The following is a 26,882-nucleotide window of genomic DNA, read 5'->3' on the forward strand; positions in this document are numbered from 1 at the left end:
GTATATAAAATTAACTAGTACATAGCAAACTCTCAATAAATAATGGTTATTATCTCTTAGTTCCCAGTGGTTCTCTCTTTCTCTTTCTGCCTTCCCCCCAAGAAAGGGCTGGAACTGATTCTTTTCTCATAGCCCTTAGAAAGAACTAACTCAGCTGATGCCTTCATTTTTGGACGTCTAGCTCCCAGAACTGTGAGACAATAAATTTCTGTTGATTAAGCCACCCAGACTGTGGTATTACCAAGAAGTACTAAGGTAGTGCTGTAAAAATACTTTAAAATGTGGAATTTGGAATTTGGTTGGCAGAGACTGGAAGAGATTTGAAGTGCTTGGTAGGAAAGGTCTAGATTGCCTCCAGGAGACTATTGTTAGACTTATGAATGTTAAAGATGTTTCTGATGAAGTTTCAGACAGAAATAAGGAACATCTTCTTGGAAACTGGAGGAACGGTGATCCTTATTATAAAATAGAAAAGAACGTGGCCTACTTGTGTTCTAGTTTCTTTGTGAAAAATAGAACTTATAGGTGATGAACTTGGATATTTAGCTGAGGAGCTTTCTAAGCAAAGGGTCGCAAACACATCCTGGTTTCTCCTTACTGTTTATAGTAAACTGTGAAGGGACAGACTACATTGAAGAAGGAGTTGTTAAGCAAAACGTAACCAGAGTGTGAAGACTGGAAAAATTCTCAGCCTATCTACATTGCAAGAAATGAGAAAACGTGTTCTGGAGAGAGCATCAAAAGTGTGACTAGACAATCATTTGCTACAAAGAGAAGCATGTGACTCATTAATCCAATCAACCATCTCAGCAAAAGACAGGAATAGATATGTGATCATCCAGGAAACATCTGTGAAAGACCCTCTTGTCTGGTGGTTTGGAACCCTGTGAATTGCACAGGAGGCCAACAAGATTTTTGAGAGTTTTCTATCAGCAGAAACACTACAAACTCTGACTGAAGGTGACAGAACTGGGATGAAGTGAAGGAAAATGGTCAGACTTCTGGGATTCTACAAGCAGGAAATGGGTTGATTGAACTATCTGGCTGGTTGATAATGCAGATAGTTTTTAAGAAAAGAGAAGAATGATCCAGAAGGTAGTTTAGAGGCCAGCAGAGCTGCTTCTGTCATCATTGGTCCAGAGAGCACAAGCCTGGCAACACTGGGGCCATCGCCTCATTGGTTCCAGAAAAATAGGACCACCTCCTTGGTTTCAGAGGGCAGGTCTGGCCACTAATGCTCAGGTTCTAGAAAACTGGTGCCACCCCATTCATGGGCCCAAAGGACAGAACACTGAGCCAAAGAGGATTATTCTCAAGCCTCAACATCTAATGGAATTTTTCGTGCTAGGTTTTGGACTTATGATCTCTTTCTTCCTTTTGGAATAGGAATGTTTGTCCTGTGCCTGTCCCACCATTGTATTTTCAAATCAGATAACTCATTGTCTGGATTTATAGGTTTCCAGATGGAGAAGAACTTTGCCGCAGGATGAATCATACTTCAAGTTTCACCCATAATCGATTTGGATGATTTAAATGAGATTTGAGGCTCAGAGTTGATGCTGGAACAATTAAGACTTTTGGAGGTGTTGTGATGGGGTGAATGTATTTTGCATATGACAGACAACGACATGAATTTTTGGGGTCAGAGGATGGACGTTTATGGGTTTGTGTCCTCCCCAAATCATATGTTGAAATTCTAACCCCCAGTACCTCAGAAAGTGACCTATTTTGGAGAAAAGATCTTTACAGAGATTATAAAGTTAAAATAAGGTCATTAAGGTGGGTCCTAAGCCAACATGACTGGTATCTTTATTAAAAACGGTAATTGCAACATTGAGACAGCATAAAGGGAAAGCCATGTGAAGAGGCATAGGGAGAAGGCAGCCATCTATAAGCCACGGAGAAAGGCCTGCAACATATTCTTCCCTCACAACCCTCAGAGGAGCCGATTCTGCTGACACCTTGATTTTGGAAGTCTAGCTTCCAGAACAGTGAGACAATACATTTCTGTTATTTAAACCACCCACTCATTTGTACTTTGTTATGGAAGCCCTAATAACGTAATATATACTATTGTGTATGTCAGAGGTTCAGACTGTATTATCAAAAAGGATCTAATTTATATTGTATAAGGATAGTTGAACGAGTATAGTTATTTAGGATGGAAGAGAAAAGTATTAAAGAAAATATCTTTGCAGGGCTATATATGACCCAGGAATCCTACATTTGGGTATTTTCCATAGAGGAATGACAGCTTATATTCACACAAAAACCTGTACACGGATGTTTACAGAAGCTCTATTTATAATTGAGCTCAAAACTAGAAACAGCCCAATTGTCCTTCAGTGGGCAAATAAGTAAACAAACTGGTAGAGACTTACAATGGAATGCTATTTGGCAATAAAAATTAATGAACTATTAATAAATGTACATCTTAGCTAAACTTCAAGGACATTGTGCTGAATAAAAACTTGATCTTAGCAGTTTAAACGCTATATGATTCCATTTATATGATATGATTGAAAAGACAAATCAGTGATGGAGAACAGATCACAGATTGCCAGGGATTAGTGGTGGCAGGAAGGATGTGACTATAAAGGTGTAGCAGAGAAAGTTTTCTGAGGGTGACACAACTATTCTATATCCTGAACATATTGGTAATTGCAAGAATATCTATGTGTGTCAACTTTCATAGAACCCTACACCAAAAAAGGTGAATTTTATTTCGTGATAAATTAAAAAGTAAAACAAAAGAGACAAAAATAGTAACCAGGGAAGCTTTCAAAAAATATATGTTCTTGTTCAAGACCAGCATGGCCAACATGGCGAAATCCCATCTCTAATAAAAATAGAAAAATTAGCCAGGCGTGGTGGTGGGCGCATGTAGTCCCAGCTATTCAGACGGCTGAGGCAGGATAATTGCTTAAACCTGAGAGGTGGAGGTTGCAGTGAGCCGAGATGGTGCCACTGCACTTCCAGCCTGGGTGACAGAGTGAGATTCCATCTCAAAAACAAACAAACAAACAAAATATATATATGTTATCTTTAAAAGTCTTTGCTAAAACTCTCAGCATGCTTACATATCAAATGTCTCAAGCCTTTGATTTTACATATGTAATATTGCAGTGTTTTGATTATATGAAATATTATATTGAAGTAAATTTGATTAACTCTAAATTTAATTTTAAATTTAAATTTAAATTCTAGGACTTTATAGCAAGTCTTGACAAATAAAATTCTATTTTCTTCGTTATGAACTAATGAGCCATCATCATTAATGTTACTGAAATTTTTAAAAATTCTAATATGAACAGATTTAAAATAAACAGACTATGTAGTGAAAAACAAATCTTGAAATTAAGTCAGCTGATCTTGATCTAACCTACCATTTTGGAAGAATTTTCTACATTGATATGTATTATGTACCCTTATAAGGCTCATAGTAGTAAAATATTAATTTAGGAAAATATTGTCTCTGTGAAATAGCTTGTGAATGTCCACTTAAACACATAATGGATCTCTGCATATTGTTCTTTTTTTAAGAGCAGTGGAGTGGATTTGATTTAATATTAATGTGTGCTATACTCTATGATCTCTGTAGTATCACAGTTAACTGGACTTATATAGGCAATTATTTACATTTAAAATTTTACAGTGTAGATTAATACTATGTTATTTTTTTCTTATCTATTTCAGACAAGACTACTGACAAAGTAGGAAATAATAAAAAGATAAAAGCTTATTTTAGAGAAAGAGGTTTTCCCAAATATAACTTTGTTTCTAACAGCTATGTCCTTAATATTTTATTCATTTGAAATCACCCTTATAGACAATTTGCTGACAGGTTAATATTATCTTTGGGAACTGGAGTACCCTCTTTTAGTGTGGTTTTTACAACATCTACCATGGGAACAGCTTCCCCTTCCATTTAGGTATCTGACTCATCCTTGCTAATATATCTTGATTTAATGATGACCTAGGGAAGAAAGAGAGGAACTCCCTTAGTATTTTTATTCTATGTAATCTGCCTTCTCAGAATGTGCCTTGTGAAAGAAGCACCTAATTACTCTGCTAAAACCAGAAAGCACTGTGAGGAGAAAGCCTGGCAAGTTTCTCCTACCAGTCTGCCACCTAATGAATAGAAATTGCAACACACTGGTATTCTGCTTTTGCACTGCGGCAGGAATGTGAATAATAATAATTATTATTATTAAAAGAACAAAGAAATGTTAGCTAAAATGGTAAACATAGATAAACTGCTGTGATTTAAGAAGTTTCCATTTGGAATCCTCTGTAAGCTCAAGTATAAAAAGGATATTGGCTGTAATCACTTTCAAGACAGTAACAAAAATGCAGGGCTAATAGCAGGGCATGATTTGACGTGCCAAATTTATTTTTCTTTCATATATTTAACTGCTAAATATTAATCAATCAGAATACACAATGTCAGCCTCTGAAGATACAAAGGTGAATACGATAGTTTATGTCCTTGGAGAGCTCATAGATTAGGCCAGGAGACAAATGAAAAAAAGTACCATAACATATCACAAAACATTCTGAGGGAGACAGCCAATGCTGGTGGAGTACAGATGGATGAAACAGCTGACTCTTCTTATGGAAGTTGAGAAAAAATTTACTGAAGAGTTTTCCTTTGAATTTAGCCTTAATGGATGAGACATGACATGCTTGACAAAGATGATAGAGAAATAACACTTCAGACAGTGAAAACTGCACAAAATAATAAATATACAACATTTTGAAAATGCTACTGCTTAATGCCAATATAGCTCTTACTCTAATTTGAGAGAAATAGCTTATTCCATTTTGTTTGATCCCTCCTCCTTTGTCTTATTCTGCACCAAGGCGATCAGTTATTTATTCATTCAATGAATATTTGTTTAAATACCTACTATGTAGCAAACAGTATTTGGGGAGCTGAGATTACAGGATCGAACAAACAAAGCTCTGTTCCTTATGAAAGTTAAATTTCAGGAGGAGTAAACAGATGATAACAAAGTCGTTAAGTAATATCGACTATGATAAACAAGTAATTAATATTATACGCTGACAAGTACTATGGAGAAAAATGAATCAGAATAGGGGAGGTCGGTAGGTTTAAACAGGGTGATTATGGGGGACTTCATGAAGCAAGCGATATTTGGGCAGATGCTGAAGGAGATGAGGGAACAAACCATGCAGATATACTGGGAAAAAGGAAACTTGAACAACATTTTCTGTGAACAAAAAGGAGGCCAGTGTGGCTGAAGAAGAACTAGGGGGAGAGTTGAAGAAGACGAAATAAGAGAAGTACTGCAGTTGGAGATGGGGAAACCTCATGTAGGGACCTCAAGGCCACTGTGTAGACTTTGCTTTTACTCTAGGTGATGAGGTGTCATTGGAGGGCTTTGAGTAAGCAATTCTTTCTTGAATGGGACCATCTCTAAGAAACATGAAACCATGCTCAAGCATCTAGGATACAAGCCTCCCACCTAGGATTCAGGTGACTCTATCAGGTAGTATGGGCTAAAACTGATCTTTCTGAAGCACCATTTTCCTAAAGATGAGTAATTAAATAGCATCATATGGATAAAAGTGAGGTATTCACATCATCTTATAAAGATATCATGCTAGATAACTTCAGACTCAAGGATGTTAAGTATATGTGAAGATGAACTTCTAGCAATATGACTGGATCACCGTGGGAGCATGAATTCCGTCTTCTGTCCCATAAGGTATCCTCTGTTATAAAAAGCTTGGATAGCATTGGTGAAGTATAATAAAATGGACACTATAGTTAGAGTGGAAAGACCTGGTTTTGAGTATTGGATCAACTGCTTAAAAGCTATGCAATTTTATTTTTTGATTTATTTATTTTTTTTTGAGATGGAGTCTCACTGTTGTCTGCCTGGGCTGGAGTGCAATGGCACAATCTCTGCTCACCACAACCTCCACTTCCTGGGTTCCAGTAATTCTCCTGCCTCAGCCTCCCAAGTAGCTGGGATTACAGGCATGCGCTGCCACGCCCAGCTAATTTTTGTATTTTTTAGTAGAGGCGGGGTTTCACCATGTTGGCCAGGCTAGTCCTGAACCCCCCACATCAGGTGATCCGCCCGCATTGGCCTCCCAAAGTGCTGGAATTACAGGTGTGAGCAACTGTACCCGGACTTGCGTCTTGATATTCTTATCTGAAAATGGGTATAATAATTTACAAATAATGTACATTTGGTCTACAAATATTTATTGACTGTCTACTCTGTGCCATAGTCTATCCCAAATTCCAGAAATACAGTATTGAACAAGACTCAGCCCAGCCCAAAAGGATTTTATATTTCAAACAGGGAATTTCAACAGTATTTGTCTGATATATTTATGAGGATCAAATAAAGTAATATATTAGAAATGCTTACTGCCATATATGGCACTCAGTAGGAATGCAAAAAATGTAAGTTACATCTCTATAATTCTTTTAAAGAGTTGCCAGTTAATTTTCTAAGAGAGCTAGATAACCATTTTTATTCAGTTGAATATTATCTTCTTTTCAATCATGTTAGAATAATTCTCTAGCTTCGTTTTTTAAAACAAAATATAAAAATTGGGAGAAGTTGCAATTTGGGGGTTGCTGTAGTTATATATAACAGTATATTTACTGTTATATACTGTTGTATAACAGCATACACTGCTGGAAGAGGTATGTTAGTTCATTGGTGCTCTGTTACCTTGTCTTTGACTGAAGGAAGGGATCTTGTATAGCTTTACTTGAATAGAGTCTAATGGTTGTGTGTTGTTTTAGAAAAAAGGAACCAGCTAGTGAAATAAATAAAGACATGATCAATAATAATTCAATTTTATTAATATTGATAGTCTTAAATCTGTTCCTCTTTTAAAGATTTTTTTTTAAAAGCTTCTGGATTGTCTTTTTAAAAAAAGCTTCTTAATTCATTGTCTTCTCAAATATCCAGCTTTGTATTTACAATAAGTGGGAACCATGTTATTTTGAGTGCCATGTTGTGCTAGGTATAATATTATTGTATACAAACTGCAGTTTTGTCCATTTAAAATACTTTTGTTTTATAATAGTTGAAAAGTAGTTACTCGTAGAAAATTTATTCCAGGTCAACTTTTAAAGTTTGAAGGATATTGAATATAAAAAGTATGTAATTATTTTCATCCAAAATAATTGTATTACAAAGATGTTGAATTTTAAAAACATTTTAAACCAAAGTTATCATAGTGTCACTATAAATTTATAATATTTTTGGCTGTAATTAATTGACCTTTCTTTTCAATTCAATGAAAATCAAAATGTTTCCATTTTTCCACAATATTTATAATAAGTAATGCATTATTTAATTGTTATTGACTATATAACTATTCAAATCCTTTAATGATATTTTATTATGATAAATTATTGATTCTTATTGCTTTGACAGGATGTGAATATCAGAAATTTCATTATTTAAAACTGAGACAGGCTGGGCACGGTGGCTTGCACCTGTAATCTCAGTACTTTGGGAGGCTGAGGCAGGCAGATTACATGAGGCCAGGAGTTTGAGACCAGCCTGGCCAACATCGTGAAACCTGTCTCTACTAAGAATACAAAAAATTAGCCAGGCATGGTGGTGGGCGCCTGTAATCTCAGCTACTCAGGAGGTAGGATCGCTTGAACCCGGAGGCAGAGGTTGCAGTGAGCCTAGACAGAGCCACTGCACTCCAGCCTGGGTGACACAGCGAGACACTGTCTAAAAAATAAAATAAAATAAAATGTAATTGAGTTATAAAAAATAAATAAACCTGAGACATACCTTTAATTGGATTTCTCAAATAATTCTCAAGTATCTGTACATTGATAAATTAATTGGGAATTACTCATTTCTCCTTCTGAGGTGCCAAGGGCTAAGGGTTATACATGAACCGGAAGGTTTTCATTTTATTCATTAGTTCCTTCCTAGGCACCTGACAGGGCAAATAGATTCTATTTGCCTTTTCTCCTGTTCTCCTGGCTGTCTCTCTCAAATAGTATACTTTGCTGAAATATAGCATAGGATTTATTTTTACTGTGCTTATGTTTACTTTTTCTTAGATAGCATTGGCTATTTCCTATCTTGTAGGCTCATCTTTGATTTCAATATTTGGCAAAGTGTCTCATTTTTTTTTTTTTGGCAGTTTGGCTCTAAAAACAAACTTTCCTCCTCTTGCCTTAAACATTTTTTTTTTCAGAAATAAGTAATTCAGACTTTCAAAGAGTCCGATTATCTTTTAAATTTTATATTTCAATTGGCTGTCTTTGGTATTCCTATCTTTTTTCTAGAGTAGGTAGAATTAACAGACTTTACATATTTTTGTGAACATCACATCTTAGAATGATTCTCAAAATTTCTTTACTTGGGAACTTGGCTGTCATAGTAGGGAAAGTGAAAAAAGTAATGTGGAATCCCACGTGATGGCACATAATTTGGCAATAATAATTGGAAAGTAATTATAATTGCACTATTGTACTGCTTTAGGTAAGTTTATGTCAACATTTCTTTATCTAAACTCCAGTTCACATATAGCTATATCTGGGTTGTGAAATTTGCTGTAATATTTTTAGAAAGAAATTCCTAAAATGCTTACTATATTTTGGCAGTTTTGAAAAGTAAATATGAGAAGTATCTTTTGTAACTTCAAATTGCTGGGGTTTTTTTTGCCAATACATCACTATGAATAATGGCAAAATCACATATTTTCATGTCCCAGTTTTAAATCATATTATTGCTGGAGGAAAGTCCCAGCTTTGTTTTCATAATTCAGCAAATAATAGGTAGCTTATAGCCATATTTTCTCCTGTGACATTACTAATAGTTTGTCTTCTCAAATAGGGCAGTTAAAATATCTTTAGATATTAAAACATGCATTAGAGCCTACTTGAACAAAATTACAATTTTGTAATTGAATTAAAGATCATTCCATTGGGAATCAAAAAACCTGGGTTTTAGTTTTAGCTCTAACATCAGCAGCTAATATGATTTTAGGTAAGTTGCTTAAATTCTCTAGCTCTGTTACCTTGTCTTTGGAATGAGAAGCTGAACAAGGTGATTACTAGGATTCAGTGCAAATCTAAAATTCTATAACTGTGCTTTTGTTCATAATATATTTTAGTTAATTATTGAAATGTTCTGCTTTCCAGAGTAGTACCGTAAACCAGTAATTTAAACCCTTCCTACTATGTTTCAACCACTTTCCCAAGGGCTGGTATGGGTCTTACTTGCTCCTACATGTAGGAGTTAGTCTGCTCTTATTTAGTCCTTTAGATATTTAGCACATTTTAGCCTGAATATCTGACACAGATGAATGATTTTTTTTTTTTTTTGAGACAAAGGCACACTGTCACCAAGGCTGGAGTGCAGTGGCGTGATCTTGGCTCACTGCAACCTCCACCTGCTTGGTTCAAGTGATTCTCGTGCCTCATCCTCCTGAGTAGCTGGGATTACAGGTGTGTGCCGTCAAGCCTGGGTAATTTTTGTATTTTTTTAAGGAGAGACGAGGTTTCCCCATGTTGGCCAGACTGGTCTCAAACTCCTGGCCTCAACTGATCCGCCTGCCTCGGCCTCCCAAAGTGTTGGGATTACAGGCATGAGCCACCACGCTCAGCCCAAATGATTTTATAAGCGTAGAAGACATCTCTCACATCTTAGTGGGAGAATTAAATGTCTCTCTTTTTCACTGAAGTCTTACCGAGAATCATTTCTTTTCTGTCACTCTTGCTGATCTTGCTGATGAGCCCTAGTTCTGCTTTGTCAAACTTATTTGAGATCAGGCTGGCCCTTGTGACAATCATTGCCGGTATAGACTTTTCATAACATCCAGAAACTTCAAGCACCACTATATTGTTTCTACTTCCTCATATGCCTTTTAAAGTATAGAAGCTGTATTCCAATATATATCTACATGTTAGGTTACAGTGATCTGCTTTTGGACTTGAGGCATTTTTTGGACTCGCCTGTCCGTAAGTCTCACTTGCATTCTTTGTGAACAAAGAATACACCCACTCTCAAATGTATATGCCCACACACAAGCATACAGTATCTTGTACACCTATCTGCACACACACAAACACATGCATAGTGCTTGACTTTGGACTCTGTGCTTTAACTGAGAGTATTCATTTTTCCTGGTTGTTACCTTCATTCCAGTTTTGTGAGCTTTGCTGTCAAAGTGGCTGTGCATCTAGCATAGAGTGGCTGCTGTTGGCAACCCATGAACAATGAGCTTAAACAGAAGAATGAGGGTAATGTTTATTGTAATAAAGATTGGGCATTAAATTCCTTGGGGGAATGAACCAAATCCAATGTTTTCCTGTTCGCTGACATTTTTTATATTGATGCTGTTTTGGATCTTCTGGAGAAGGGAGGAAAAAAAAACTTCAGCAAATCAGCTCTTTCATTCAAAAATGGAATTCAGAAGGCTATTTTAGCTAGCTTTTTTTGACAATCCTGGATTTAATCAGTTTTTACTGTGATGAAGACAGTTAGCCTCACAAATTTTGTGGAAATCTAAAGCGATGAAGGGTGTTGTTAAGGGGGAAACAGAGTGCAATTGTTTAAATAATCCTGGGCCAATAGCATTTGGTAGGTGGAGTTACTGTTGTGTGCATTACAGAGCAAGATAATTCTGAATGAAGACTTTAAACATTACACATGCTGGACGGATTCTGGGTCTGCTCTTTGTGCAAACAAAACAAGTGACTAGGTTTTGCTTACTATCCATTAGTGAATGCAGCTTGTTTAATAAGATTTTTTTTAAAAAAATGCATGTAAAGGATTTATCAAAAGCCTTTATGAATATTTCATGAGTTGATATATTCAGCTGAATGAATTCAGTGAGTGTCAGTGTGTAGCTTGCAGACAAACCTCATCCACAAGGAGGCTACTGACATTGGAAGCACTTTGGCGCATTTTCAGAGGCAAAGCCAGCCTGATAAAGCTCCTTGTGACAGCCTGACTTGCTATTCTTCGAGTATGCTGCTCTTGCTCTAAGACGCTCATACATTGGAGTCACAGCTTCGTAAATTAAACTGGAAATAGTTTGCAGACTTATCAGTCTTCTGACCTGCAGCAGTGTCTCTGCTATGTTTGAGATTTTTGTTTTGGATGGTGAAAGCTAGCACTCCTTACAAGACATGACAGCAAAAGATTCTTCAAAGGAACTTACTGCTTCTGAACCTGAGGTTTGCATAAAGACTTTCAAGGAGCAAATGCATTTAGAACTTGAGCTTCCGAGATTACCAGGAAACAGACCTACATCTCCTAAAATTTCTCCACGCAGTTCACCAAGGAACTCACCATGCTTTTTCAGAAAGTTGCTGGTGAATAAAAGCATTCGGCAGCGTCGTCGCTTCACTGTGGCTCATACATGGTAAGATAAGACTTGGAGGTATCTACAGTGCTTTTCAGATTCTCGCATTAGCACCAGTGATCTAGCAGTGTAGAAAATGGAACATTTGAGTTTTGTTCCTAAAACATACTGCAAGTGTGAAATGAATGGAGACCAGGTCAGATGAAGAGTACATAAATGCACTGTGTGCTAAATTGTCATTGTGCTACTAGCTTTTTCCAGATAAAATATGCTTTTAACTGTAGAGTCTTTAAAATTACTGCTTATCAGAATACATAGCTAATTCTAGGTAAGTCGAGTAATAAATGAATTTTTAAAGTCAGTTTTTTGTTTCATATCTGTTGAGGTGGTAGGTGACTTTTTTGTTTTGTGATTGTTAGTGATTTTAAAAAAATAATTTTGGGACATGAATAAGTGTTTTAATCTTAGTTCTAACTTATTTTTAAGATAATGTATAAAGTCTAACTTAATGTATTGTACCATCATGTTTATAGCATATAAACCAGTGAGTTTTTGATTTATTGACTTATCTTTACAATACTTAAGGAAAGGGAAAACTAAGTTCCCACTTCTGAAATTGCATGGTCAGTTACTTTAATTTTTGATTCCAAAATGCTGTTATCTTTAAGAGCTTCTTTTTTTAAAAAAATGGACTTTAAAATTTATAGCTATTTTTTAAATACCCAGCAAATAAATTCAAGAACCCTCTGTAAAACTTGCACTGAGCCTGCCACCTTTAATATACATGTTTACAAGGTATGTAAATATAGTAGGGTAACGTCCTTAAACAGTATAATGATGAAATGTAAGGAAAAAACACGATGAAATTAAATCACTTTTACTGTGAAAGCCAGGCCACTTCAGATTTTTTTGGAGGCTATATTTTCTTTCAGATTAAGGTACCTTTAAAAATTGAGTAGCTGTACCTTAGTTTTTTCTAGCAGGGACCATAGCAATATAGGGAGCATGTACATTTTAAAGGCAATTCTAACACAGTGATTTTGTGACTACATGCTGGGTTGCCAATCAACATTATAAATTGAGGAGATCTGATTTTTAAAAATTAATATTCACTTGAATTATTTTCTACTTATCTAAAATGTTTGTCTGCTTAATCTACTGTATAGTGCATTGGCAAATTAAAGTTACGCCTAGAAATATATAGCTTGCCTTTGATAGATACCACATGCTTAGCCAACACATACTTTGCCTGGCATATATGATGTGCTTATTCTTGCTTTCTGACAATGGACTGTTCATATAATGGCTTTATTGCAGATTTTCTTTGGTCATCTTCTTGATGTATTACATCATGTTGTTTAATTGTAATCTCTTATTTGCAGAATACACGTGGTTAGTCTTTCAAAGCCTACTAATGATGGTAACATTGTATAAAGGGAAGGTTTATGTATAAGGATGTACTGACTTGAAGAAGTCCTCTCTTTTGTGCTTTATCCCACCCCTAACATGTATGTATTTTCTTATAGTTTGCTGAGTAGTATAACTGAATAGGGAAGATATTAGTTATGAAAATAATATATACAGAAAATACACAATTAATAGATGCACATTTTTTCTTGAGTTAATATTAAATTGCTATTTTAACCAAAAGGATATTTAATTTTAGATAGCTAATTTTTAGATAATGATAAGTCTTCTTAAACCCTTGGTAATATTTTTCTTTATGTAGAGTTTTGGTTCTGAACACAATAGTGTGACCTTTCTTTTTCTTATAATAGATTTTTGATGTGCTAAGAACATAGAGCTATAAATACTGGAGTTTTTTACTTTTCCAAAGAACCCCAATTTTAAAATGATTAAAGAGCTAGTTTTACTCATGCATTATACAAATTTTCTGGCAGCAAAAGGAACAATTAAATGGTATCTGAAGTTACCTACGCTAATAAGATGATATTCTTTTAGTTGAGTTAAAACAAAATGTTACAATTGCCAAAAAAAATAGGACTTTGATATAATGCTCTATAATATAGATTAAAATAATTCATTAATCATTAAACTTGTGAAATAACTTTAGTTTTGACTATGATTCATTTTCACCCTTTTTTCTTTCAACTCACACATTCCCCTTCTGATGTTTCTTAGTAAAACAGTTTCACAGTTTGTTTTCAGCTCATGACTAAGTCTTTATTTATATTTATTTCTATTGTTTTATCTGAATACATGCTTAACATTTTTCAAATTTATTTTCATACAACATGCAATGAAAATCTCTTTCTAGAAAATAGACATGTATCTTACATATTTTTATGACTTTTTCAAATCTTAAAAATTTTGCCTTTCCCGGGGAACCCCGATAAAGTCTCTAGCCTAATGCTTCATGCTTTCCCCTTGCTTCGCCTTTTTGTCTCTTGAGCACCCTAACGTCTTTCCAATGAATATAGATGGCTCTGTATGGTCTGCTCTACCTCCTGTCTCTAAGACTCGTGAGAATAATAAACTTTTCTTTCTTGAGTTTCCAAAAAATTTCATGTGCTTTTTTACATAGATGAAATGGTTATATGAGGAAATAAGAGCATAAGTACTTTATTTTTGCCTCTTTGTCATAGTGAAATGTAACCAGCCTTTCACGATCAACAATTGGTATTTTTCCAAACCATGCACTTAAGTTAGAAATTCCAAGATATGCACTTAGAAGTCTCTAAAAACATGTTATTACTTTACAGTAGACAGTAGGCTTCTTTTAAGAAGATTGGATTGTTTTGATTCCAGCATTGAAATTAAAGTAATTTTCATGATGAAGCTAAACAATGCAGAGGATGCAGTTTATATGCAAACCCACTAAACAGTTTTTATTTGTAGATTTCATATTTCAGTCAGATGGATGTGTAGTTCTGGCTTTAAAAACCCAAATTATGAACTGTGGACTAATGGCAGAAGATTTAAGAAATATTTATGAAATTCTGACTCTGGGCTATTTAAAAATATCTGGGGGAAATGTGGATATTCAATGTGTTATCACTAATCAGAGTATTTACAAAATCCTAAATCTGGAAGGAATTTGGATGATTATCTCATTGCTTCCTTTTACCCTTGGGCAGGACCACAATTACTCCATCTTTAACATATGGGAATCTGCCCTACTTTTAAGACTCTAGAGAAAATAATTCTAAAATCTCACTTAGTATACAATCTTACTACTTTATAGTCCAGGTACTAGAAAATTATTTGTTATGATTTATCTATATTATTTATATATTATATATAATCTTTTTTCCCCTCAGTGGATATTATTAATAAAAAAGATGCGTAAGAGCCTGCATGAATCTGAAGATCATTATTAACTGGTGCCAGCGTTTTCTTTTTCATTCACTCAACATATGTAATTGAGCACTGCTGTGAGCAAGAAGAGAAAAAAAATCTGATTCAACCCACATGTATTCCAACACCTACTATATTTTAAGTTTTTTACTAGAATGTCTGCATATGTTATCCCATTTAAGTTTCATTTGGAATATAAGTATACTCCAAATTCATGATCCTTTCAATATTACCTGCTGCAGATATCAAAAGTATTTTGAATTGCTCTAGCTTCTTATAGGTGTTTATACTCCATTCATCATTATTTTGACTCTGAATCACTATCTCAAATTTCAAAATTTTTCTTTGAATTTTGAAACCCAAAAGTGGATACCATACTCTTTGTTAGACGATATGAGAAAATATAGATATGAAACATGTAATAAGTTGCAAAGTGTCAATGGAACCTTCAGAATTACTGAATTGGAAAATTACTGCCAGAGTTCTCAGGTCAGCATAGTATTTATCCCCAATCCCACATCAGGGATGACAACTTATGAAGCACAGTGTTATCCTACTTGGCCTGTATGGCCTGCCTGTGCTTGCCTGGTACTTGTCACACAGTGTCCAGCTTTTATAACCTTCCCTTCTTTGTTGATATCCCAACTTCAGTCGTCAGTTCTCTTTCATCATTAGCAACTTGATGCTCTCTGAAGAAAGCTACTGCAATGGTCTTGAATATATCCTGGGCCCACTGCACCCCCCTGACCCACCCCCGCCCCCCACCCTGCTGCATTGCTGCTCCTTTTTGGAGCTCTCTTCTTGTATTTGTGAGGACTACCCTCTATCTCTCTGTCCATGCTTGCACACAGGAAACAATATTTTTGTAATTAGAAGTTAGTAGGAGAAAAGAGGCTTGTATTCCTTCTTCTCGTTTAGTTTTACCTGTATCTTGGAAATCTTTTCTCGTTTTAACAAAGGTTTATGAAGTCTTTACTTGTCTATCTAATATTTGAATACAAAAGTTTTAAAAGCCATAGTTAGTACTCTAAAGGGACTTATATTTGGCAAGACAACACTGGATTAAGTGGAGAATAGGAAAAAAAACAGTGAATATGGCATATGATTGACCTTAGAACTGCCGACATGCTTGCTGTATTATACAACTTAGTCCTAGTTTGTTAGCTAACTCTACTGAATCTGTGCTAGTAATATTGATCAATTGCCTTGAATTCTATCCTGGTAATATTGGAAATTTTTTGAGAGATGTCTGTCTTTACATGTTTATTGATTCAACATTTGTTTGAACAAAACAGTTGTTAAGAGCCTACTATGCACCAGGCTCTGATCTGGGCTTAGGAGACACAAAATGAGAAAAAGCCCTTGTCTTCAAAGAACTCCTATACTAGCTGGAAGACAAACTTATGCAATAATAATTAACCAATGGTGTGGGAATAATGCTACTGAAGCATGTTGTTCAACTTGTCATGAGGGCACAGAAGAAATAACTACCACTAGAGAGTGAGTCAATGTGTTAAGGGAAGTTTCGAGAAGAGATGACATTTGTGTGGGGTTGTGACAAATGAATAGGAGTTTTCTAGGAGAAAAGTGGGCAGGAAAGGTATTTTTTGGCCAAGGGAGCAATAATTAGGAAATCCTGTTAACAAATAATAACAATAATAGCTCTAATATATTCAGCACTTATATAATGTGTTGGATATTAATTATAAATGTATTTACTCATTTAAGCATATAAAACCCCCTGAGTTATATACTATTATATTATTTTCATTTTATAGGAAAAGGAATAAAGGTCAGACAGGACAAGTAATTTGTTCAAGTTTACACAGAAAATAAACAGCTGAGTTGGGATTTGACTCTGAGCACGAGTGAAAATACACATAGTTCACTGGGGTTTCAGCCTAAGGATGCAAGGTGGGAAAGCTAGGAAGTAAGACTGTGCCAGCAGATTGGAGCCATTTGCTAGGGCTTCCAATATCATGAACAAGAGTTGGAGTTTTAGCCCATCCATTCTCGGTGAGGAGCCACGACAGGTTATGAGAAGGGGATTGCCATGTATTATTTTTATTTTGGAAAGGTACTTTGCAGGTCAGGTAGAGAATGGATTAGAGGACAAGGAGCTTAAAGGTAACTGGAAAAGGGACAATGTGCATTTGAGAGATAATGACTTCTACTTATTTTGTATATCCCGTAACATTGAAAACTATGCATATGACATGTTTTATGACTTAACAAATTATGGTTTATGGAAACTGGGAGGAAAGCATGTGAACTTGGTGTCTCTTGCATTTATCACTTACACCATGATGCTGTAGATAGTACTAGCTGGTACAATACCCCCACATGCATCAAACAATCAGCAAAGGTGCATAGGAGGATGTGTGTATCTGAGGAAAACCCTATTAGCTCAGTCCTAATTTACTAGAGGTGCTTTGTATTTTACTTTAAGTGCAGACTCCTAGTGGGTTAAAAAAAAAAAAAAAGCAGATATTATCTTAGTCCACAATCTGAATCAAATGGCAGTAGAAATCTATGCCTCATAGCCTGAGTCTGTTGCTTTAATCAGAGCAAGCATTTTATCAGTACATCTATAAATAGTGTTTTCCTGGCCTTTTAGTGTCATCAAGTCTTCAATATATTGGATTTTTAAAATACTTACAGTAAAAAGGGCTTTGCAAAGTAATGGTGACAACCCCCAGGACACATGCCGGAAGGTGGCCCAGCAAGCTTGCCAGCTGCCTTTCTGCTAAAGGCTAAACCCATTTTGCTAAATCCCACTTGCGTTCTCTTTCCATTCCTTTCTGTTTTGTTATCTCTCAGTTTTTCTCCTTGGATGTTTATAGTGCTTCCTTCTCTAACATCACTGTCAATGCACTTGCAACATTATGCTAGAAGCATTTAAGCGATTTCTTAGAAAAAAATCTCAAACGCTTACCATGGTTTTCAGGCCCTACATTATCTGGCCCCAGGCTGCTTCCAACCTCCTCTCCTGTTCTCCAGCCCTGTGAGCCTGCTTTCTGTTGTTCAGCAAACTAAGCCTGTATTCACTTCTGGCCTTTGCACTTGGTTTTCTTCTGCCTGGAAGAAAAGTACCTGGATGTTAACACGGTTTCTCCTTATGTCCATTCAGGATTCTACTATCTCCAGGTATCACTATCCGGAGAGGCCTTTGCTGACCTCCCTATCTAAAATAGCACCCTTTCGCCTTTTACTTCCTTGTCTTTTTGGTACTTATTATTACCTGAAAATACATTATAGACATGCTTATTTGTTATATTGTCTTATCCTTTCATCATCTGCCATCCCTGCTAAATTTCATGAGGGCAGTGATTCTGTCTTGTTTTCAGTATCCTCAGAGCATACAAGAAAGGCAGTCATTTAACAAATACTTGTTGAAGAAATAAAGAATGAATATGGTTTCTGTTTCCTGCTCTTTATTCTATGAGCATTTTTCCTATAGCTTGATATGATGGAAATGGAAAGGAAGCTTTGTTGATACTTACTCTATAAGCATTCTTCTCCAATCATCTCTCAATAGCTGTGCTCTCTTTCTGTCAGTAGAGCTACTGCAGCTTGCTTCCTATATTGTATTCTATGATATTGCAGGTATAGATTTAATTATAATATCTCACTAGAGCCTAAATGCTTTACATAGTAGCCTATTTAATTAAGTCACCATGTACAAATCATACCTCCTAGTCTGTAGTGCTGTAAAGTAAATATTTGTCTGTAGCACTGTACAATTATTTATTTGGTTTTTCTTCATTCATCAAGTAGCATGGTTGGTGCATCAGCTCAGGAAAGCTCTACATATCTCTCACCAAATGCCTGAGGAGAAGTGTTGTATGGGGGAATCTACTTGTTATTTTGCCTTCAAAATATTTACATAGTGTACATTAGAATGCTTAATTATCTATATTTTTCCACTGATGCAACATTTACAATATTAACTCTAGCAGCAGCTACAGCAATTTGAGCTTTTAATAGGATTTCCCCAGGGAACTTGGAAGTAAGAAGTCTATGACTTGCAGAGTGAGGAAATTGCAAGTTAATAACCCTTGTACTCTAGAAAAGACGTCACTGAGAGGGAAACTGTTCACTTGGTTCTGCCTCATTTTTTCTTTCCTGAACTAGGAGGTTGGGGACCTCTGTCACTGGTAGTAATTTGTTTGACATAAATATGTTTGAATACCACTGTGTACTTTAGGTTGAAATGAAAAATAACTCAACTTCTCAGGTTGCTTCTTCCTGGAACTTAGGGAGAATGAGGATGACTGCTTCTCAAAACCTTTGTAAAGAGAATGCCTATGAGATGATGTGCTCCCTTGACAGACCAAGGCTTGTCCTCCTCTTCCAAACTATACCTCTCAAAACTCAGCTTTATTGCAAACTATGCAGATTGGAAGTCAGGGGATGGAGGATAGTGTAGCTTCAAAGAGTGCTTCTTTCAAACTGTATTTTCTGGAAAATCAGTGATCTAGGAGCCATTTGGAGATTCCTCGAAAAAGAGGGTGGTGATGATCTGTTTCCTGGTTCTCGGTCAGAACAAAGCAACATGGATGATTATATGCTTGGAGAATTTTGGAGGATTCTCACACAAATTCTATAATCTCCAAGTACTTGAAAACCACCAGTTTAAGAGTTAAATGAGTAGAGGGAGAAAAGAAATCTGTTTAGTTGTGCTTGATAAAGTCACAGACATTTCCAGATAATTTATAATATTAAAATCATCTTCATCTAATATGTCCAGGAATGGCAGCAGGATAAATGAGGAGGATGAAAGCAACTGTGGGTCAGGGAGACATCACTGGTAGTGAACATTTAAAATTTCAAAGTTGAAAGAATAGTACAATGAACACCTTTTACCTAGATATACTAATTGTTAGTGGTTTCTCTTATTTACCTCTTTGTCTCTTTCTGTGTATAAAATCATATATATGTTTTCTTTATGTTGAAGAGAGCACATTTCGATGGAGAGCAATAGTTTTGGGATCAAAAGAAAAATATTATTTATTTTAAAACAGTTTCCATGTATCAAGCTTGCTGTTATTACAATTCATCCGTGTTTTTGCATTTATTAGTAATTTATTCCCTTTTATTATTAGGTGGTATTCCTTTGTATTGGGTGTACTACAACTTGTTTATCTGTTCACCAACTGGATCAAAATTTGGATTTCCAGTCTTTTGGCTATTATGAATAAAGGTGATATAAACATTCATGTATGGTTTTCTGGGTAAACATATATTCTAATCTTTCTTGGGTAAATATCTTAGAGTGGCATTGATGGGTTGTATTGTGAAGTATATGCTTTTTTGGTTGTTATTTGTTTTTATTTTTTTGACATGGAATCTTGCTCTGTCACCCAGGCTGGAGTGCAGTGGCATGATCTTGGCTTACTGCAACCTCTGCCTCATGGGTTCAAACTAGTCTTGTGCCTCAGCCTCCTGAGTAGCTGGGACTACAGGCACGTGCCACCACACCCAGCTCATTTTTGTATTTTTTGTAGAGATAGGTTTTCACCATGTTGCCCAGGCTGGTCTAGACCTCCTGGGCTCAAGCAATCTGCCTGCCTCAACCTCCCAAAATGCTGTGATTACAGGCATGAGCCACCGTGCCTGGCCTATAGTATATGCTTTACTTTATAAAACACTGCCAAACTGTTTTCCATCATGGATGTCCCACTTTATAGTCTTACTAGCTATATATGAGAGTTCTTATTATTCTGTATGTGTGAGGGCATTTTGTATTGTCAAGTTTTTTTTAAATTTTCGTCATTCTAACAGATAAGTAGTGGTAACTTACTGTGATTTTAATTTGTGTTTCCCTTATGACTAGTAATACCGAACATCTTTTAATGTCTTTATTTGCTATCCTTATCTCTTTGGTAAAATAAAATTGTTTATATAAGTCATGTATCAATAAACTTTGCAAATATTTTAATTTTTAAGAGCACACTGACATATTGGCAAGTTATGAATACATTTGTAGCACCGGTTTAAAAAAGAAAACTATTAAAATATAGTAGAGGGCTAAAGGCATCTATCATAACATGATTTTTCTTGCTGATAAATTATTGGTTTTCATTTCTTAAAATGGTTTCTAAGAGATGATGTCTATAAGATTCAAATTTTCTTCCTCAAGAAGGAAGTTTTTTTAAAAAAATAAATCTATAATAATTTTATAATATATATGAAACACTATATAATGCCTTAATGTAGTATACTGTAGAACTTGGGGTTCTATCACTGTATAATTTTGACGTTGTCTGGAATTTATTTTTCATGGTGAATCTTTGTTTTATGTGACTTCATCTGGAGTTGAGAATGCTAGGTTGGGTATCAGTATTTTACCTTGATTTGCTCTTGAAACTTTAGATCAATCCTAGAACTAATTTAATTGTCCTAGACCTCAATTCTTTAACTGGCAAAATGGAGAAAAGAGTTTTATATTCAGATATTTGCAAATGTTAATTTAATTTAAAAAATATCTACCTAGACTGTGAGTTACCTATTTCTTGAGATAATGTATTAAAGTACTTAGAACAGTACTTCAAGCATTATAAGTTGTTTAATAGATGTTACTGTTTAATTATCTGACTAAATCTCTAAACATACACAAACATTCATATTATTGTCAGGGTTGGTTGGTAAAGCAGGAACTAGTTTTTTTTTATTTTTTGAAAAGCATCAGTATGTATGGACTGTGCCAATTTGGAAGAGTCAAAGTGCATGTGGGTTAGTAAAGAAGTACATTTATAATATCCACAGTGTGACAATTCAGTATACTAAGAAACAAAGTATCATTCATTTGCTGTCATGTAATAATCATATCCTAATGAACCAAGCTAAATTATACTAAAATGCACTAATTATCAGAAGACCCAGTGTGAATAGCTTACATTCCCGATAAGAAATTTTATTGTCTTGTTTTGCTCTCATCAATACATTTAAAAAAAAAAAACATTTATCATCTTCACTCTGTGAAAGAGATAGGAAGAGAACCACTTTGAAGTCATTCCATCCACTTGTACCAATAAGCTTAAAAGTAACAAGACAAAGCAAAACATAAGAAGATGCCTTGTCTATTTCAGGATCCGCATATTAAAAGCCAATATAGGATTCAGTGAACAAATGCCTTGGAAGAATTCCAGTGTCATCAAACTTATTTATCTCAAAACGTCTCCTTCCATCCTTTCTGATCCTCTACAAAATTAATAAGCTGAGACTATTTGTTGCAGCACAGAGGATCTGAGCATGCTTCTGTGGCTTATTTCTGCTGTAATTCCCTCAGCAGTTTATACAGGAATTCTTTATCTCACCATCAGGATTCTTTAGGCCAGAAGAGAGGTCAGAGAAGACTGGACAAATAAACTATGGGATCTAAGTCTTTCTTGCTAAGGTCCTAACTGCCCAAGACTTCCTCCTGAGAGTCTACTGTTGAAATTCATATGCAAATTTCAGTTTCATGGGATTAACCCTGGCTGTTGTCTTTACCTGTCAGCCTGCTCAGCCAGGTGTGAGTTCACCCATAAAACAGTGTCTTTCACATGCTCATTTATCAAAACGACATAGAGACTTTAGGATGCCAGGTGATATGATGCAAAAAGCACAACATTTGGTTTCTAACTGCATCTTTTACCATACACTGTTTTTGGGCAAACCATTCAACCTATCTTAGAAAAAGTAGAAAAATTAGAAAAATTAGAAAAACTCTACTTGTATTTCATTAGGCCTTTATGAAGATTAAATGAAGTAATGTGTGTATGATGGTTAGTATAATCCCTGGCCAATGGCAGGTAATAAAAGCAGTCCTTAGTTCACTAATGTATCGAGAGCTTATGATTTTGTGTAAAATTTATATAATATGTATCATAATGTAAACTACTTAAAGATCTTTATAACATGGTTTAATTAAATCAGTTTCATTGAGCAAATGTGGTGCATCTTAAATCCATTCTTTTAGACCACTTAGATATTACTTAGTTTCATAGGATATGACTTTATCATAAAGCACATATTAATTATCCTTACCACAATAAAATAAAAAGTAATAAATCCTTATGTGTTATGGTGTGTAATCACTCTCATTCATCACAGAGACCATTCCAAATTGCAGATTTTGACCATAGAATAATCTTTTTTCTTTAAAATTCCAGTTACCTTCTTGAATTTGATACTTTCTCCATTAGTGAAACTATTAATAGATACCAATGAAGCACTGTTTTTTTTAAGTTAACGTAAAAAACATTTAATGGTCTTTTCAAAGTGCCAGAACATCTCTGAAGTTGTTTTCCTTAGTGGGATCTAACCTCCTAGTGACTTGTTTATATCAGAAAGTTTATTCATGAGAGGCAGTGGAAAAGCACCTAGGGATCTAGATTGACAGAATCTAGACATGTTTCCTGGCACCACCACTTACAAACTGTTTATTTATTTGTTTATTTATTTATTTATTTTTTGAGTGGAGAAGGAGTAGTTCTTTAACCTTTGGGAGCATCAACTTCCTCATCAGTAAATAAGAGATAAAACAATATCACTGATTTCTCTACTTATATGATTTTATATGATTATATAACATTTACAAATATTAATTAGTATGGTTGAGAAGCATGGGAAAAGAAAGATAAAGATTACTTTACAGAAAGTAAGGGTACTCCATCATTAAAATATAAAAATCAAAGAGCTTGACTTAAGTGCCGCAGGTGTATTTCGGTATATGTAAAGAGCATCCCATTAATAAATATTATCAAATACCATACACATTGCTCCAGATTTATTTTATAAAAGGGGGAAGAGTTTCTGCTTTATGGGACCATGTAAGTGAGAGACTGGAGACAGGAGACAGACTAAGTGGTACCTTAAGATCTCATCTACCCCACGGGTCTTTATATCACTTTTAGCTTCCTGCAGAAAGATAATAACAAGCTCATATAACCAATATATAATGAAGTGAAAGTTGCCTTTATTCAGACAACTTTACAGCATTTAAATCAAATTGCTCTTTATTTCTTGGTCATTTCAAAGAATATTTAAGGATGAAAACAAAAATAAAGGTTATTGCTTCTGCTTTGAGAAAGTTTTCCTTCTCACATAATCTTTGATCAGGCTATTGTGTCACTTGGCAACTTAAAGGCAGGAAAAAGTTATATCTTTAAGTCCAGGGATTCTATTTAAATGAATTGCCATTGAAAAGTGGTTATTCAAATCAACTCACAGCTTAGTAACATTGAAAAATAAAGTAAACTACTTTTGGGTTTCACAAGGATCATGCCAAGTTTCTGGGTCTGTCTAAATTAATAAAAATAAGACTTAGGAACCTGTATGGAAATTGTAGATTAAATTAAGCAACTGCTTCATCTGAATAAAGCTTTGCAGAGTCTAATATTATGAAGGAGCTATCTTCATGAATACAGTGCTTGCTTGGGATTCAAGGGATTTGAGTTTTAATGCCAGCTGAATCCCTAATGCCCACGGAGCACATATGCATTCATTTGATGCTGGTAGCTTTTCTGTCAAGTGGGATTAATAATTACCTGCTCTACCACCCTTACCTTATGTATTATAGTATGAATATTCAATACCAGTGTTCACGGAATGCTCTGCCTTTCTGCAAAATAACATGGCAGAAGCATTTAGAAAGGAAAAAAAGTTTCTAAAAAAGTTTTATGCGTATCAGATTTTCAAAAATGTGTCTCAGCTTTAAAATACATTAATGAATTTTGTATTTTATATGAACCCTAAAAATGCTCTTGCCAAGTACTTAGTTATCTGAAAGCTAAGATAATTGTTTTGGGTTTCTTACAGCTTTGCTGCATTTGTGTATGTTAGTCCTTTGTCAATGGATAAACACCAGATTGACATCGCTTAGTGAGTTAACTCTGATGGGTGGCTAGTATTTTCGTTTTTTATTGATTACAACCAACAGATATTTATTGCTGGATAATGCAAACATGAGGCACCATGCCATCAAGGAGCTTTAATCTGGGTAAGGAGAGTATATAGTCATTTGGCATGTCAAATGATTAATTTTTCACAGATACAAGTGTTAAGAGTATATCAGTATAGCCAGGCATGGTGGTTTGCACCTGTAATTCCAACCACTTGGGAGGCTGAGGCGAGAAAATTGCTTGAGGCCAGAAGTTTGAGACAAGCCTGGGCAACATGGTGAGTGATATGGTTTGGCTGTATCTCCACCCAAATCTCATCTTGAATTATAGTTCCCTTAATCTTCATGTGTCATGGGAGGGACCTGGTGGGAGGTAATTGAATCATGGAGGAGGTTCCCCCATGCTGTTCTCATGATAGTGGGTGAGTTCTCAACAGATCTGATGACTTTATGAGGGGCTTTTCCCTGCTCTGCTCTGCACTTTTCCTTCCTGCAATCATGTGAAGAAGGACGTGTTTGCTTCCTCTTCTGCCATGATTGTAAGTTTCCCGAGGCCTCCTCAGCTATGCGAAATTGTGAGTCAATTAAACCTCTTTCCTTTATAAATTACCCAGTCTCAGGTATTTCCTAACAGCAGTGTGAGAATAGACTAATACAGTGAGACTCCCATCTCTACAAAAATTAAAAAAATAATAAATTAGCCAGGCATAGTGGCAAGTGCTTGTAGTGCAAGCTACTCTTGAGGCTGAGGTGGGAAGATCCTTGAGCCCAGCAATTCCAGGCTTTAGTGAGCCCTGATTGCATCACTGCACTCTAGCTTGGGCAACAGAGTGAAACTTTGACTCTGAAAAAAATATATAAAAGTATAAAATACAGGGCCAGGCATGGTGGCTCATGCCTGTAATCCCAGCACTTTGGGAGGTTGAGGCAGGGGGATCATTTGAGGTCAGGCATTCAAGACTAGCCTGACCAACATGGTGAAACCCCATCTCTAATAAAATGCAAAAATTAGCCAGGTGTGGTGGCAGGCACCTGTAATTTCAGCTACTTGGGAGGCTGAGGTGGGAGAATTGCTTGAACTCTGGAGGTGGAGTTTGCAGTGAGCCGAGATCATGCCACTGCACTTCAGCCTGGGTGACAGAACAAGAAAAACGAACAAAACAACCCCCCCCAACCAAAACCAAACAAATGAAAAACAAGTATAAAATACAATGCTCTCCCACTGCTACCAGGTGGAAATGATCTAATTATGAAACTACAGGTTTGAAGAGCAATGGTTCCACTTCTTTTTCCAAATGGCTGTGAGCCTTGAGTCTGCCCCTGTTATGGTGACATACTGAGCAATTAATCAGTAGTGAGCTATACTTGAGAATCTGGTGTACTAGCAATAGGCTAGGTAGTCTGCTGATGTGAGCAGGTAGGAAATATCTCCTAAGACAGAGGGAAACAAATTCGCATTTTAATTTTTTTCACATAAAAATTAGGCAATGATAGAACAATTACATCATATATTTCTTATATCATTTAGTCTTCATCTCCATTTGCAGATGAGAAAGTTGAGACTCAGGAAGGTCGATTAATTGATACCAGGTAAACAAGCTACAAAGAAATAAACCAAGATTTAGTACATGTGTTCTGATTTGGAGTAACACATTTTATATGCTGACAAGGTCCATAGATACAGAGGTATATCATTACACAACCCGCCCCATCCCCTTTGCAACTTCCAACTCCCAGCTCCTGTGGGAAAATATCCAGGGTTACTGGATTCACATGTTCCCTTATTAAAAGCTTCCTCCCAGGAAGGCTTGTAAAATTCATTTGCTCTTACACATAATGGACTCATGGGGTTTAATTTGGGGAGAATAAACCATTAAACTAGAAGAATTAATTTCTACTTACAGAATTTGGCACATTAGAGAGAAGAGACAAAGGGGAGTATTTTGGAGGATGAAAGGTTATGTTCCAGGCATGGAACATAGACGATGGGCTGAATGTCCAGGCATGTCATTGTATTTGCAAACCATTCATTCACTCATTCATTCATTCATTAGCATTGTCAACCACCTGCTTGATTGTGCCCATTTCCTGCCTTTCCTGTTTCTATAGATGAATTATCTGTGTACCTGGTTAAGGCCACCCCTTACTGTGCACTGCATTATATCAGTACTCACCCACAAGGGCTTTGCTCTTGCACTTGTCCCCGCTGTCTCCTGTATCATCAGTTTTCCATTCTATTAAATGGTATCCATTTATAAACATGCTATTTCCCTTTAAAAAGCCCTCTTTGACCCGAGGCACTCCTCTATCTATTGCTGTATTTCATTTCTCCCTTATAAGCAAA

General features: G+C 35.7%; 1 protein-coding gene across 5 annotated transcripts in view, besides 1 other annotated feature; it reads left to right on the forward strand.

Annotated features, from left to right (window-relative positions):
• PDE4B (phosphodiesterase 4B) overlaps positions 1-26,882 on the forward strand; it is a 582,070-nt gene that overhangs the window by 189,239 nt on the left and 365,949 nt on the right. The window contains exon 1 of one of the 5 annotated variants that reach the window (NM_001037340.3): positions 10,987-11,394. The exons of the other annotated variants lie outside the window; for them this stretch is intronic. Coding sequence (NP_001032417.1) covers positions 11,159-11,394 — 236 coding nt within the window. The 5' untranslated portion in view covers positions 10,987-11,158. Of the gene's footprint in view, positions 1-10,986; positions 11,395-26,882 lie in introns of those variants that run through there. 5 annotated transcript variants of the gene reach the window in all.
• Positions 21,820-22,402: an enhancer, noted in NCBI's record as "NANOG hESC enhancer chr1:66469251-66469833 (GRCh37/hg19 assembly coordinates)". NCBI's record gives its function as "activates a minimal SCP1, AML or CMV promoter by ChIP-STARR-seq in naive H9 embryonic stem cells {active_cell/tissue: H9 hESC(naive)}" and the evidence as "EXISTENCE:reporter gene assay evidence [ECO:0000049][PMID:30033119]".

This window comes from Homo sapiens, chromosome 1 (genome assembly GCF_000001405.40).
Source record: "Homo sapiens chromosome 1, GRCh38.p14 Primary Assembly".
Taxonomy (NCBI): Eukaryota; Metazoa; Chordata; class Mammalia; order Primates; family Hominidae; genus Homo; species Homo sapiens.